The sequence below is a fragment of the Homo sapiens genome, chromosome 11 (genome assembly GCF_000001405.40).
Source record: "Homo sapiens chromosome 11, GRCh38.p14 Primary Assembly".
In the NCBI taxonomy this organism is placed as follows: Eukaryota; Metazoa; Chordata; class Mammalia; order Primates; family Hominidae; genus Homo; species Homo sapiens.
Genome location: NC_000011.10, coordinates 43,797,618 through 43,813,361, shown reverse-complemented (window position 1 = coordinate 43,813,361; position 15,744 = coordinate 43,797,618). Strand labels below are relative to the sequence as shown.

Here is a 15,744-nt window from a genome sequence, read left to right as displayed (position 1 = left end):
TATTTCAAAATGCAAAGGAAAATTGAACAGTGTAATTATAAATCTTTTAAAATCCAGATTTCATTTTTTTTAAAAAAAATCTAGGAACTTTGCAAGCAGCACAGTTGACTTTGTAATCTTTACATGTACTATAAGTACAAAGTTAAGCAAAGGAAGTCCCTGAATAACTAAGCAAGCAGAGAAGTGTTATTCTGGTTATGACTGTATTAACAATAGAGAGTTGCCAGGCGTGGTGGCTCACGCCTGTAATCCCAGCACTTTGGGAGACTGAGGCAGGCGGATCACGAGGTCAGGAGATCTAGATCATCCTGGCTAACACGGTGAAACCCCATCTCTACTAAAAATACAAAAAATTAGCCAGGCACGATGGCACGTGCCTGTAGTCCCAGCTACTCGGGAGGCTGAGGTAGGAGAATTGCTTGAACCCAGGAGGCGAAGGTTGCAGTGAGCCGAGATCACGCCACTGCACTCCAGCATGGGTGACAGAGGGAGACTCTGTCTCAAACAAAAACAAAAACAAACAATAGAGAGTCTTCAGCTGTGTCTCTGATAATTGAGCAAAGGAAAGCTATCAAAGCTATTTATTCACACAATGAAAATGTGAACATCTATTTAACATAGCTCTATAAGAAAACATATTCAACCAAAAAGCATCTGCACAGCAAAGGAAATAATCAACAGAGTGAAGAGACTACCTGTTGAATGGAAGAATATATTTGCAAACTATCCATCTGACAAGAGACTAATATCTAGAATATACAAAGAACTCAAACAACTGAATAGTTTAAAAAACAAGAAAACTTATTAAAAAGTGGGCTGAGGATATGGATAGATATTTCTCAAAAGAAGACATACAAATGGCCAGCAGATAAATGAAAAAATGCTCATCACCAATCATCACAGAAATCTGAATCAAAATGACAATGAGATATCATCTTACCCCAGTTAGAGTAGCTGTTATTAAAAAGCCAAAAAATAACAGATGCTGGCAAGGACGCAGAGAAAGCAGAATTCTTATCCACTGTTGGTGGGAATGTAAATTAGTATAGCCACTGTGGAAAACAGTATGGAGGTTTCTCAAAATATTAAAAATAGAACTATCACATGATCCAACAATCCCACTACTAGTATTTATCCAAAGGAAAATAAATCAGTATATCAAATAGATACCTGCACCCCCGTGTTTATTGCAGCATCATTCACAATAGCAAAGATAAGGAATTGACTTAAGTGTCCATCAACAAATAAATAGATAAAGAAAAATTTAGTATATATACACAATAAAATACTATTTGGCCATGAAAAGAATAAAATCCTGTAATTTATAGCAACATGGATGGAACTGGAGGTCACTGTGTTAAGTGAGATAAGCCAGGCACAGAAAGACAAATATTGCATGTTCTCATTCATATGTAGGAGCTAAAAAAGTTGGTCTCATGGAGGTAGAGAGTAGAATAATAGATACCAGAAGGTGGGGCAGGTGTGTGTGGGTGGGTGAGGGATGAAGAGAGGATGGTTAGTGGGTACATATAGTTAGATAGAAGGAATAAGTTCTAATGTTCAATAGCAGAGTAGGGTGACTATAGTTAACAACAATGTATTGTATATTTCAAAATGGCTAGAAGAGAGGTCTTTTAATGTTCCCAACACATAGAAATGATACTCAAAGTGACAGATACTTCAGCCACCCTGACATGATCATTACACATCCTATGCATGTAATAAAATATCACATGTATCCTATAAATATGTAGAAATATTATGTATCTGTTAAAAAAAAGAGAGAAAACCTGTTCAACACTGAGAACTTTAGTCCAAAAAAGTAAATAGTATCACGGAGAAGGGCTATGTTTTCATAAATAAAAGTACACACAATAAAACAATGTTAAAGCTGGAATAAGGCTGTTAAGAGCACTGAGTCCAATTTTATGAGGTGAAGTACACACCAAGGTCACAATGGCGATTTGTCCTATTCTAGGGATTAGGACTCCTACATTCCCTCCTGTACTATTAGTTCCACCTTTTGCTTGTGGAATGAATGATACCCATAATCTCCCCACCATAAGTAATCACTTCAGAATGCTCTTATTTAGGAGTATAGAGAAAAAACTGTTGCTCTCAAATAGTTATTTCCATAAAATGCAGAATAGTGCGAATCTTTTGGAAAAGCAAACCCACGGCAATTTTATTTTGAGACGTCAGGTGGCAGCAATAACCTAACAGCAGGCAGAAAGCTTTCAGGGAATTGCAAAAGGAAGAGAAAGAACAGGCTTTGAGTAGGAGTGAAGGATGGAAATACTCCCATTATAATATAATCTCATTAAGAATGGGTGCACGCAATGCCATCTTTACATATTACAGGATTCATTATAGGATTCGCCAAACCAAACAATGGCACATGTTGCTCCAACATTATTCAGATAGTTGAAGATCCCTTCTAAATGGTCGCATCTTAAATTAGCATTAAACATGTTTATTAGTGAGTTTTCTTGAATTCTTGAAGTGAGGCACTAGAGACAGATTTAAACATTTTTTTCAGTGAAAAACCTTTTTATTGTGTAACAACACATGATGTCTCTCAGGAAACAACAGATATCTATGTCATCATGGAATTCCCACCACCATCCCAGTCACTGTAGGGTGCTGGACAGTAACAAAATCTTTCCCATTGGTTTCTGACTAGAGGTCTAAGACTGGGAAGCGCTCAATAAAAGAGATGAGGCAGGCAGAGAACAGAGGTGAAAACAGACCAAGAATAATGCCAAAGGAAGTGGAAAGAAAAGGTGGTGGAGGGCAGAGGAGCCATCCTCTTAAGAGTTGATCCTTGCAGAGAAGAACTGACATAGGCCATGCTTAGCTACGCTCTCCTCGGCCCCCATCCAGAACCTCAGAAAACACTAATATCATTATGTGTTGCATTTTAAAGACACAGAAAATCCACGGAATAATTCTGAATTTTATATATATATATATATATATATATATATATATATAATTTCTAAATTATACTGCTTTAAAATCATTTCCAAATTTTATGCTCTTAAAAAAAGAATATTTACAAGATTTCTGTTTCTTCTAAGTTCGTTTGCTGCTGATCTCACTGAACTTAGAATCCTCTCTCAAAGCCAGCTGCTATAGAGATATAATGATGTCATCAGAAAATTAGATTTTTGGTATCTGGGTTAGGCGTGAGAGAGGAGCAAACAACAATAAATTACTAGAAATTAAAAATCCATTTGAACAAACAATTCTAACAGATACGGGTAACCCCCTACAGATCACCTTCAACCTGTTTCTTTTTCCAGATTAATCAGAGATATAGGAAATTAAGGTGGTTTAAAAATATGTTGCCTAATGGCCGGGCTTCCCGACATACATCAAATAATGCAAAGTAACCCCTCCTGTTTCCTTCTCATTGTATCAAAGGAGAAAAAGTTTATATTTCACTAACATTTGTGGTTATAAATGCTAATCCAGTTCCAGCACTTAGAGTTAATAAAAAGACATCTTATTTATTTATTTGCTTATTTATTTACTTATTTTGAGACAGAATTTCGCTCATGTTGCCCAGGCTGGAGTGCAATGGCTCGATCTCAGCTCACTGCAATCCGTCTCCTGGGTTCAAGCGATTCTCCTGCCTCAGCCTACTGAGTAGCTGGGATTACAGGCATGCGCCACCACGACCGGCTAATTTTTTGTAGTTTTAGTAGAGACGGGGTTTCTCCATGTTGGTCAGGCTGGTCTTGAACTCCTGACCTCAGGTGATCCGCCTGCCTTGGCCTCCCAAAGTGCTGGGATTACAGGTGTGAGCCATCACGCCTGGCCAATAAAAGGAGATTTTAAAAAATGCTGCTACCTCACTATATTTCAAAATAAACTGAATTTTTAAAATGTATACTTTAGTAACAGTGTATATACCAAAAGTGGGGGAAACTTCCTGTCTTAAATTTTTGAGCTAAAAGAATACAGACCCCAGAGTCCTAACAGAACCAGGTTTCAGTCCCAGCTCCACTACTACCAGCTCCTAACAAGAAACTAGTGATTGCCTCATTGTCCTTTGACATAAAATGGGGATAGTAATTTAAGAATTAAATGAGATCATATACATAAAATCTTTAACCCAATGCCTGGGACGTAGTAATATGTTAATAAATGGAAGAGGAAGAGTTGTTATTGTTGTATGGTCATTTATTCAACAAAAATTTATCAAACTCCTGTTTTGTGCCCAAGCCCAAAGTACCCTACTTTTATTACGTATGACCAGAATCAAAGTGGAGAGATCCTTCTGAGAGAGTGGACTCTGGACATCCATTAACCAGAGCTGCTGCTATTTATACTGATTAAATTTCTCCTAATTGCTCCTCTACCCTCTTTATTTCATTCAATTAGATCCACTCTTACAGCCTATAGAGAGAGTTTGGAAAGTGATGCAAAGTAAATTCCATCTTTGCCTTATTTAACATATTGCTTTAGCTAGCACATGTTCATACTCTGACAGATGATATTTGGAACACCATGTAAAACATTTTGCAAACTTTACAGTTTTCATACATTTGTGAGTAGCAATTTCCAAATAAAAGAGAGTTTACAAGACTTTAAATTTGCAGTGCTTTAATCAGAAATTGAAAAATTAAGACTGAATCAGAAGCAACACAACAGAACATTTCACTTCCACTGTTTAATTATAAATTGCTATGTGATCTTCATTACAAAACTAGGTAAGATTTGCTATACATAAAATTGGAAGAGGGAATGAAGAAAGATGACATGAGGTTGGTAGTTAAATGTTAGCTGGTGGGAAGAACATTCACCAATTTCATGACTTACAGTTCTATTTACATTTCTGAAATAACAGAGCTAATTACCCAGTTTTAAGTAAAAGGTTCTGCTTTAATTAATACCATTAGTGAGTGGTTTTCAAGTAAACAGAAATAAATATGAATTCTAGAAGTCCTATGCTCACTTTACAAATCCAATCTCAGCCAACATACCTAATGGAACTACAAGGCACTATACTTAGTCTGATAATGTTCCTGATGAGTCTCCTAGCACATTAAAAAAAAAAAAAAAATCCATGCACCTATTCTCTTTGCCATGATTGTCTACACCAGGCTTCTTCAACATTTAACACAAAGAAGGTTCCCTTCTAGCAAGGAAGGGCATGTGTGCCCAGCGACCCAACTACTTGAATTCCTACATGGCTTTCTCACCACCCTCTTAAGCTTAACATATCCCAAAGTGAAATCATCATTTTTCTCAACAGACTTTGCTCCTGATCCAGGGTTTCTTGTCTTGGGGAAATGGTACCCTGTTGCTCATGTCAGAACCTGGAAGTTGCTAACTGCTAGTCGTCTAATTCTGGATGATGTCTAACTCTGTAACTGTTTCTTGTCTGTAAAATGGGCATAGAAATATCAATATCTACCTTATAGGGTTGTAGAGGATTAAATGAAATTCATTAGCATGGTGGCTGGCATGAAAGAGTGCTCAATGCATGTCGGCAATAATGACTTAAAAAACACAAAACCATTCTTCTTCTTCTTTACTCAAGACCTCCGATGAGGACCCTCATCAGAAATTGGTCCTATTTCTATTTCCTAAACACCTCTCTTTGTCAGTTCACTTCTGCTATCCTCCTAATGTAAACATTCATCATCTTATGTCTCACTTCTGAAATAGTCTTACTGGCCTCCTCCTATCAATTCTTGTCTTATTCTATGTGGGAGTCAGAAAGATCTCTCTAAAATTCTAATATGTTGTCAAGTCACGCTTACAATTCTAAAATGGTTTCCCATTGTACTTCCAATGAAGTCTAAACTTATTGTCTTGGTTTTCTCAGACTTTCATGATCTGGGTCTGCTTAATCTCCAGAATCATCTTTTGTTACTGTCCCCTTTGAAACCCTTGCTCCAGATTCACAGGGCTTTTGTCAGTTCTACTGACACACTAAGAATATTCACATCAGGCCTTTTGTACATGCCGTTTCCTCCACCTGGAAACCCTTCCCATGTCTATTCTCCCAGTATTATTCAGCCTTCAGGTTTCCACTTAAATGACTTTCTCAGGGATACTATCTGTGACACCCTTAGCTTTCCCAGTAACATTCTCCTTCATTACATGCAACACGTTCCCACTACTTGTTCGATGGCTATCTTCCAGAAAAGCAGAAACAGTGTCTGTTTTGTCTACTGTTATAGCTCTGGAATTTTACTTGTTTAATGAATTAGTATACGGTTGATTGAATGAATCAATCAAAAAAAAGGAAAGAAAAGGTACTGTACAGTTAACATTTTGTCTGATCTTTGTTAATAGGATGGAGGTTTTAAACCACTGGAATTTCCTGATAACAGTGTCTTTCTTATTCATGGCAGGCCCTTGGATCACATCTGTGTTTTTATTTTTAAAACTGATACATATTAAATGTACAAGTTTTCAGGGTACACGTGATAATTTGGTACATTCATATAATCAAATCAGGGTAACTGGGATACTTATAACCTTAAATCTTTATCTTTTCTTTCGCTAGGAACATTTGAATTATTCTCTTCTAGCTATTTTGAAATATACAATTGATTATAGTCATCCAAATGATCTAACCCAGCTCTTATTTCTTCCATCTAAGTATACATTTGTACCCATTAATAAACCTCTCTTTATTCCCATCCCACCATTCCTAGCCTTTGGTAACCACCAATCTACTCTCTATCTTCATGAGATCTACTTTTTAAGCTCACACATATGAGTGAGAACATGTGATATTTGCCTTTCTGGGCTTGGTTTATTTCAGTTAACATAATAACCTCCAGTTCCATCCATATTGCTGCAAATGACAAGATTTCCAGGTTTTTTTTTTAATGGCTGAATAATATTCTATTGTGTACCTATACTATATTTTCTTTATCCATTCATCTGCTGATAGACTGTTAGGCTGATTCCATATTTTGGCTACTGTGAATAGTGCTGCAATAAACATAGAGTGCAGATATCTCTTCAATATATTGAGTTTCTTCGTTTTTGATATATACTCAGTAGTGGAATCAAGATGACCCAGGATGGGGTTGGACACCAGAAAGACCAACTCTGTGACTAGAGGGCTGGGGCTTTAAGCCAGCCCAACCTAAAGAAAAGAGAGGAGGATTGGAGATCAAGTTAAACCACATGGCCAATGATTCCATCAATCATGCCTACTTGGGTAATGAAACCCCCAATAAAAACTCTGGAAACTGAAGCCCGGTAGAGCTTCCTTGTGGATGAACACAAGGATGCGCCTGGAAGGTAAGGTGTCCTGACTCCACCAGGACAGGGCTTAGAACCTCTGTGTTGGGGACTCCCCGCAGACCTTGCCCTATGGTTTCTCTTCATTTGACTAATCCTGACTTTTATCCATCATAATAAAACTACAAGATCATGAGTATAGTGCTTTTCTGAGTTCCATGAATCGCTCTAGCTAATTATTGAACCCGAGGGTGTCATACGAACCCAAGAATTTGTAGCCAGTTAGTCAAAAGTGTAGATGGTCTGAAGATCTCCAAACTTGCAGCTAGCATGTGAACTGAGGGCAGTTTTTTGGGGGGCTGTGTTCCTGAACCTGTGGAGTCTGCAGTAACTCTGGGTGGTTAGCAACAAAATGTGATTGCAGTATTACAAAAGGGAAGTTTTGGAAGTGTTTTATACCCTTAGAAAGCACAAAAGTTATATCCTGCCCTTTTCCCAAACAATCATCCCATGATCCTCTTATAACCCTTTCCTATATACCTAGAATAATAGCCTCTGCTCTTCCTTAAGCCTGATCCTCATATACTGGGCTACAGAGAAAAAGCGGGAGTAGGGGATAATAATTCTAACTACATTAAGTTTACCTTTGGTGCTCTCTCAACATAATTTTATTTTGTCCTTCTGCGTGTCTCCATCTCTGCACCCCACTGATTATCAACCTACCACATAGTTTCCTTTTTTAAGACTATTGTTCTCCATTTTAAAATGACTTTTCCATGTCTTTCACTAACTAAAATAGCCAACTGACCCAGCAAGAAGTAGACAAGGAATAAACTGAATATACTAGTTCCAATAAGAATTAAATAACAGGTGCCATTAGCCCTTTAGAGGTATTTACACTTCAAATGAGAGCAACTTAAAACTATTTATAACATTGAGAACAGCAAGAAGAGAATCTGTAGCATTATGTATTTCTAAAGCCTCTGAAGAAATAAGACTCTTTTATTTGTGACTTCCTTAATCAACAGGGACCAGGAAGCTGCATAAACTCCTAGTATGCTCCATTTTCCTTCCTTCCAAGCAATCCTAGAAAAGTTTTCCTCAGCACTGTTCCTGTAGTGCCTTGGTTCTCTCTCCTAGGCCTACATCTATTGCTCTTCCTTTGCTTCTCTGGGGACTGAATTATAAGGAAGCCATCTCTGGATCCCAAACCAATTAACTAGGAGTTTGCCATTTGGAAGCTAACTAGTCCTTTCCCCAAGTAGCTAATAATACTCTTGGGTCTTTTGTTAAGAAACTTTGAAAATGTAAGTATACACAGAGACAGAGTTACTCTGATCTTAACTCTGATGGGTATCTTTGCTCAAACTATCTTTTAGTTTAGTAAATAAAATATTTATATTCAACTATTCTCTATCCTAGAACCTTCTGGGAAACACTAGGTTTTCGGGAGAAAAATGCAACACAATTGCTTCCCCAAATCCATAAGGTTTAATGAGGAAAGTGGTGGCACAGGCAAGGATAACAAAGAGTTTGCATTCAGCTGAAAAAGGAAGGACACCAATTAAAAAATAATTCACCAAGAACATTAGTGGAGCAAGTGTTCACTTATAAAGGGCACAGGAAGAAAAGAGAATAATAAGTTCTATTCCAGCTTTGGCAATCAGTGATTCTTTGCAATCAACTGACCTCTATTATCTACACATTTTGTTGTTGTTAAAATGAGGCTTCTTAAAATTATTAGCAATGCGTATGGAAAGAATCAAGAAAGTCGATGGATGACTAAAGTCCTGAATGCACTAAGCCAGTAGGGCAACACAGGTCACCTTGTACCAGCTGAGGATGCTACAACTTGTATACGCCATCAACACTATGGACAGAGAAGGCCTTGAGAGCATCTGGCATGGGGAAATTCTTGTCTAGAATGCAATAAAAGCTTAAATAAAGCTATGGTTGATTTTTTAAATGAATCACAAACTAAGTATATTTTTCCAAGAGGACCTTTCTTTCTCCTTCTATAATACAGAATCTCACAAAGTTAAAAAAGTCATAGTAGTAGAATTTGAAAAAAGTATTGTCTGTGGCATACTTAAAAGCCAAGCCTACTCTTTTGGCCTTGGTAAATTACGCCTCCCTGAGTTGTATTGTGCAAAGTCCTCCAAACCAATCTGGAGCACACATGAGAGTCTCTCCTAAGGAATCAAGTAAGCATTACGGTAATCACACTTTGTTAACCAATTGTTTGCTTACTCAAAGCAGTAAGGATGTCATTTTCTCTAAATAGCCAAAGTTTTATAAGCTTTCTGAAATCTGTATTTCTTGGCATTTGCCTGAAAGAAGACAGTAGATGCTTAGTTTTTTTTTAAGTAACGGAGTTAAGAATCCAACTTCTCAACCTTAAGCATTTATAGTCTCATCAAGTTATGGTGACCTTTCAGGATAAATTCTCACAATTCATGGCTGTTTCCTTTCCACTTATCTTACTGAAAACTTAATGTTTCTTTCATGACTAAGGGCTTTAGCATTTTCCTTTGTAATTCTGAAAATATTAATTTTCTTTATTAAGCACTGACTGTTTGGTGCTTAACACTTCAAACAAATGGGGTGTACCCTGGTGATTTATTTTTCTTATTATCCTTACTAGTTTCATTAAAACTTGGTAGAAAAAAATTCCTTCCTATGACTTAATATGGATTCCTAGGTCTTACTAGAAATCAGTCTATACATAGAATATTTTAGAGAATGTTATAAAAGTGAGAATTGCATAAGCAGAGGAAAGAGACTAAATTATTTTGCCCTTACTAGACAGAGGTGAGAGTATGTGGGATCTGGATGGGGATGCGGGAGAGAAGAAAGTTGATGGGGCTATAAATTCAGGTAATCATAAGAGAAAGAAAACATATACACATCAGACCTCCCCACAACAAGTTCTAGAGGGTTATACCCATACTAGTGAAGGAACCATAAGAATGGAGTTGAAATATGACCTAGTAATAAAATTTAACTCACAGAAGTATTTTAATAGTTCCATCGAAAATCTTGAGAAATTAAAATTACAATCCATGTGTAAAATATGTGCTAATAAATGTCAATAATAATTACATAAATCTTATGATTAAGGAGACATTTGTGGTAGAGTAGGAAGAAAACTAAACTTACAGCTCAGCTAATGAGATAATGTATGCAAAAGTTCAGCTATACACTTTAAAGGATTATGTAAACATTAGCTATAATGATTTTTATTATTGATTTGCAACCAACTAGAAATCAAAATCAAAGTTGTGTGAGTATCTGAACTGTTTAAGGACAGCATAATTTTAAAGCAGGGTTTATCAACCTCAGCACTACTGACATTTTGGATGGATCATTCTTTGCTGTGGAAGGCTGTCCTATACACATTATAGAATGTTTAGTAGCATCCTTGAGCTTTACCCACTAGGGGACAGTAGAACTACCCTCCCCTAGCCAAGAAGGACAATCAGAAATGTTTCAGAACATTGCCATACACTGCAAAATTGTCCTTGGTTGAGAACCACTGCTTAAAAGCTAAGACAAATCAATAAATTATACTCATAATTCCCTCATACAAACTGAGGTTGAGAGATGGCCAAGGTGAACTAGAGTTGAGATGTCAAATACAGTAACCACTGGCCACATGTAGCTACTAAGCACTGAAAGTGTGGCTAGTCTGAATTGAGATATGCTATTAAGTGGAAAATATATACTAGATTTCTAAGACTTAGTATTAAAAAAGTATGCAAAATATTTTTAAATTTTTTTGTATTGATTATATATTGAAATATTAATAGTATTTTAGATATACTAGGCTAAAATAAAATACATTAAAATTAACTTCATCTGGGCTGGGCGTGGTGGCTCACTCCTGTAATCCCAGCACTTTGGGAGGCCGAGGCGGGCAGATCATGAGGTCAGGAGATCGAGACCACCCTGGCTAACACGGTGAAACCCCATCTCTACTAAAAAATACAAAAAATTAGCCAGGCATGGTGGCAGCCACCTGTAGTCCCAGCTACTCAGGAGGCTGACGCAGGAGAATGGTGTGAACCTGGGAGATGGAGCTTGCAGTGAGCAGAGATCGCGCCACTGCACTCCAGCCTGGGTGACAGAGTGAGACTCTGTCTCAAAAAATAAAAATTAAAAAAAAAAAATTAACTTCATCTGTTTCTTTTTACTTTAAAAAATGTGGCTATTAGAAAAGCTAAAATTACTGTGGCTTGTGTTACATTTCTATTGAACAGTACTGAGTTCATGCAGAAAACTATCCCCCACTTCATGCTATCTATTCCAGGCAGCCTTTGACAAGAAGGAAGGGAACTCAAAAGAGCTCTTTCTTCAGTTTTCTCTTTACATTCTCTCTATTCTCCTTGGATGATCTCCAGGCCCACTGCTTCAGTGCAATTACTACTCATAGATGACTAATCTCCAAACTATATCTGTAGGACAGAGCTCTACTGAAATCTAGATATATATACACATATACATACATACATATACATATATATATATATATATATATATATATATATATATCTCCAACTATCAACTAAACAAGTCAACTTAGACATCTTAGAGGAGCCCCAGATTTCTAGTTTTAAATGATCTTCACTCCCCAAAAGGCTCCTCCTCAAGGATTCTCCATTTCAGCAAATGCAGTGTTAATGCAGATGTTCAAGCCACAACCTGAAAGTCATCCATAAATTCTCTCTTCTCTGTCTTCCCACTTGGAATCTCTTACAAAGTCTTGCTTCGTCTACTTCATTTATAAATGTTTCTGGAATCCTCCTTTTTCCTACCCCACTGGCTAGGACAAGTTACCATTATTTCTCCCTGTATCAACTCCCCTGTCCCCCACATACTCATATTACACCCTGTCCTTCCCTACTCAAAACACTTATCCCACAGATAATTATTTTGTTTCATGTTATATTTCCTATTAGAACATTATACTACATAAATAATGCAGTATAGCTCTTTTTTTTTTCTTTTTGAGACAGAGTCTCACTTTGTCACCCAGGCTGGAGTGTAATGGTGCAATCTCGGCTCACTGCAACCTCTGTCTCCCAGGTTCAAGCGATTCTCCTGCCTCAGCCTCCTGAGTAGCTGGGACTACAGGTGTGTGCCACCCTGCCCAGCTAATTTTTGTATTTTTAGTAGAGATGGGGTTTCGTCATGTTAGCCAGGCTGGTCTCAAACTCCTGACCTCAGGTGATCCTCTCGCCTTGGCCTCCCAAAGTGCTCAGATTACAGGTGTGAGCCACCACGCCCGGCCCAGTACAGCTTTCTTGTTCATTGTTGTATCTCTAGTTCACTGATTGATGAATGAATGAATGAATGAATGAGGAGGGGCACAAATTGTTAACTCAGCAACTTACTAAGGAACTAGGCTATCAAAACAATGGTTCATTAGTGTATGAGGCCTGGGAAAATATCAGTCCTTATGTCCAAATATCAGTATTTATGTATTGATACAAGTGCTAGGATTCTAGAAATGGGGAAAAAGTATTTAGAGAACATGTGTCCTGTATGCTTATCCTTAACAGATCTGTCACGCCTAAAATCATATTGAAGCCTTTCCATATAGGGGGCAGGAAAGAACAGCTAAAGAGTGCCTTGTACAATCCTCCAGCCCTGCAGCAACATGATGCCCAACATTTTCCAATGCCAATGCCATAGTCCCAGAGCATCTATAGTTTCCATGAAAAGCAACTAAAGTTTATGCAAAACTAAACACAACTGTGATGAATTTAACTATTTCTGAAAGTAAGTCATTCTCTAAGAGCACAAGCTCAAGAGAAGCAGTAAGATTTTCTCCCTCAGTCTTTTTTCATTAGGGATTCTCAATCTCCCTTCCAGCCTAAGCTAGCCTTTATCCCCTAGTCCATCTCTAGTTTGAAAGGAGGTTAAGATGAACCATGACAGCTTCCATACTAACTGTAAGTTATGATTGCTGATTTGGATTTTTACAGATGTCAGTGGTGACTTATGTATTCCAGATCTAGGTGAAGGAAGTCAAGATTTTTTTATAGATGTCAGTGGTGCTTTATGTGTTTCAGATCTAGGCTAAGGAAGAGGAAACTGTGAAGGACTCCCAGCAATACATATATTTAAGAACATGCAAACACAAAGGCAAAAACCAGACCTGTGTTTGCATTCATTTTTACCTATTGGTCTTCCTATAAGTGAGGGAGTAGTGGTGTCGGTATATGGGGCATGGTGATGTGTGATATGGACCAGGCAGGAGCTGGGAAAGGATAGCATGTGAAAGCCAGGTGCAACAGTACTATGCAGGGCTATACTTGTTTAACTGATTTTTAACAACTGTCTTATCTATTATGGAAATCATGTAAAAGACCATTCTTTTATAGGATGAGAAAGGGAAGTGGGGTCTTTACGACTAAAGAAATGTTAGAAAATGTTTTTAAAAATTATCTTAATTTATCCAACTTTTATAGCCCAACTAAACAAACAATGACAATTAGTTGGTTCCCACCAATTTTGGCAGTGGGATAAACAGATTTAATGAGGAAGTTTAGTTTTTTTTGGAACTAGATGCCCTGTTTCTTTCTAGAAACGACTCTCAAAGAGCGGTGGGAAAGTTAACAAAGCCCATTTTTTTTCCTATACAATTTTCTGAATTGTTTCCATAACAAAGTTCAATATTCTGATTATCCCAATAAAAGTATCTGTTTCTGGTAATAAGAGCAAGGTAGCTGAGATGTAACAAAAGGGGTATAAGACTTAGAAAAAAAAATACAAGACTGAACCCCAGCTGAACCACTCAATCTTTATGTGCCCTTCTAAACAATCCATTTTCAACTGGGGCAGAGCTCCACAGAGTAGATGAAATTTGGTCAGGGTGGGGTGGGAATCTTATTTGTATTTTTTTTTATAAAGCAGAGATATACATATAGTACATAATCGGATCTATACAGTGTATTTGTGGTATTAAAATTTCATGAGAGTTAGATTAGGAAAAATCTCTAAAGTCTTCTCGGGGGGTAATAGTGAACAAAAGGCTGAATAAATTATTCTAAGCCTTCATTTCCTCAACTGTATGTAAATGAGTCAGCACCATCCACTTTAAAGGATTATTACAATATAACTACCATCAGTCCTATTATCTGTGAGCTCCACATTCATGGATTCAACCAGTGACGGGTCAAAAATACTGGGGAGAAAAGAGACAAATCAAAAATATCAGGGGGATAAATTACACAAAGTTCCAAAAACCAAAACTTGAGTTTACCAGTGTGTCTACACATTAAATCTGCACAAATGAAGTGATGTGTAGGCATTGTTTTAGGTACTATAAGTAATCTAGAGATGATTTAAAGTATACAGAAGGATGCGCATAAGCTATACGCAAATACTAAGGCATTTTATATCAGGAACTTGAGCATATGAAGAGGTCCTGGAACCTATACCCATAGATACCCAGGGACAACTGTATATCTAAATATACACAGAGAATAAGAGAAATAACAAGGAAAATAACCAAAATTGTATGTTGTTAATATAGAACTAAAAACACAGATTCAAATGTATATATTAATGTCACCTAGTGATATTATTCACTGATAATGTCTTACGTAATCATAAGACAATTTTCTCACTAGTCATTTTACCACTTAACATCCAAAGTCATAAAGTCAAATAATAAATACAAGAAGAACCTATAAATGTGGCAAAAATACAAACCTAAGATGCCGATTTCAAGACCAGCCAAGCCTGTTTTAATTTTATCATAAATATCTTCTGATGCAAAGTCAACAGCAATGGTTCTTGTCTCCACTTTGAATTTTTCTTCTAGGGAAAAAGAAAACACAAACGGGGAGAGACAGGGAAAATTAGTACATGGCAGTGAAGATTAAGGCATTTGATAGCATTATCCTTTCAGACGTTTCTCCCCACCCAATTTGATACAAAATTTACACCAGGATAATTTTAAGCAATCATGAGACCATCTAAGAGATGATATAGAGTCAACACATTAGTTCTGCAATAAAAATTCTAATGTCGTCACAGAGAGCTGGCTGAATGTTCCTTAATCAGTTCTTCTTTTGTAAATCAATAATGAAAACTACTTTTAGACCCTTAGGTACAAATAATAAAACATGATTCATATCATAAAGTTATATACTCTTTAAATATCACTGGCTTTGTGATTTTAATTGTAAATTGGTGCTTTGTAACTTCAGGAAGAAGTCTTCATGTTGTAAAATATTTTAAAGTGTGACACATTAAAACAAAAAGTCTATCTTATCACAATGGAAATAAAATGAATGGGATCTTATAATTTGGGAGCTTGGTTAATAGTTAATAATCACTACATTTTAAAATCCACACAAAATGCACAGTAATAAAGGAATAAAGTAACATGAGAAACAACTCAGTATTCTACTTTACACAAGTCTATTAAGGTCCAAACAGTGCTGATGAAAATAATAGCTTCAGAAATGAGACCCTGGAGGAACAAAACTCATCTGAGTTAATGTACAGTATTTACTT

At 36.8% G+C, this 15,744-nt stretch overlaps 1 protein-coding gene across 7 annotated transcripts in view; it reads right to left on the bottom strand.

The window, feature by feature from the left end:
• Positions 1–15,744, bottom strand: part of HSD17B12 (hydroxysteroid 17-beta dehydrogenase 12) — a 299,895-nt gene that overhangs the window by 43,254 nt on the left and 240,897 nt on the right. For all 7 annotated transcript variants that reach the window (XM_024448573.2, XM_047427074.1, XM_024448571.2 and 4 more), the window contains one exon: positions 14,935–15,042. In XM_024448573.2, the coding sequence (XP_024304341.1) occupies positions 14,935–15,042 (108 nt within the window). The remainder of the gene's footprint in view (positions 1–14,934; positions 15,043–15,744) is intronic.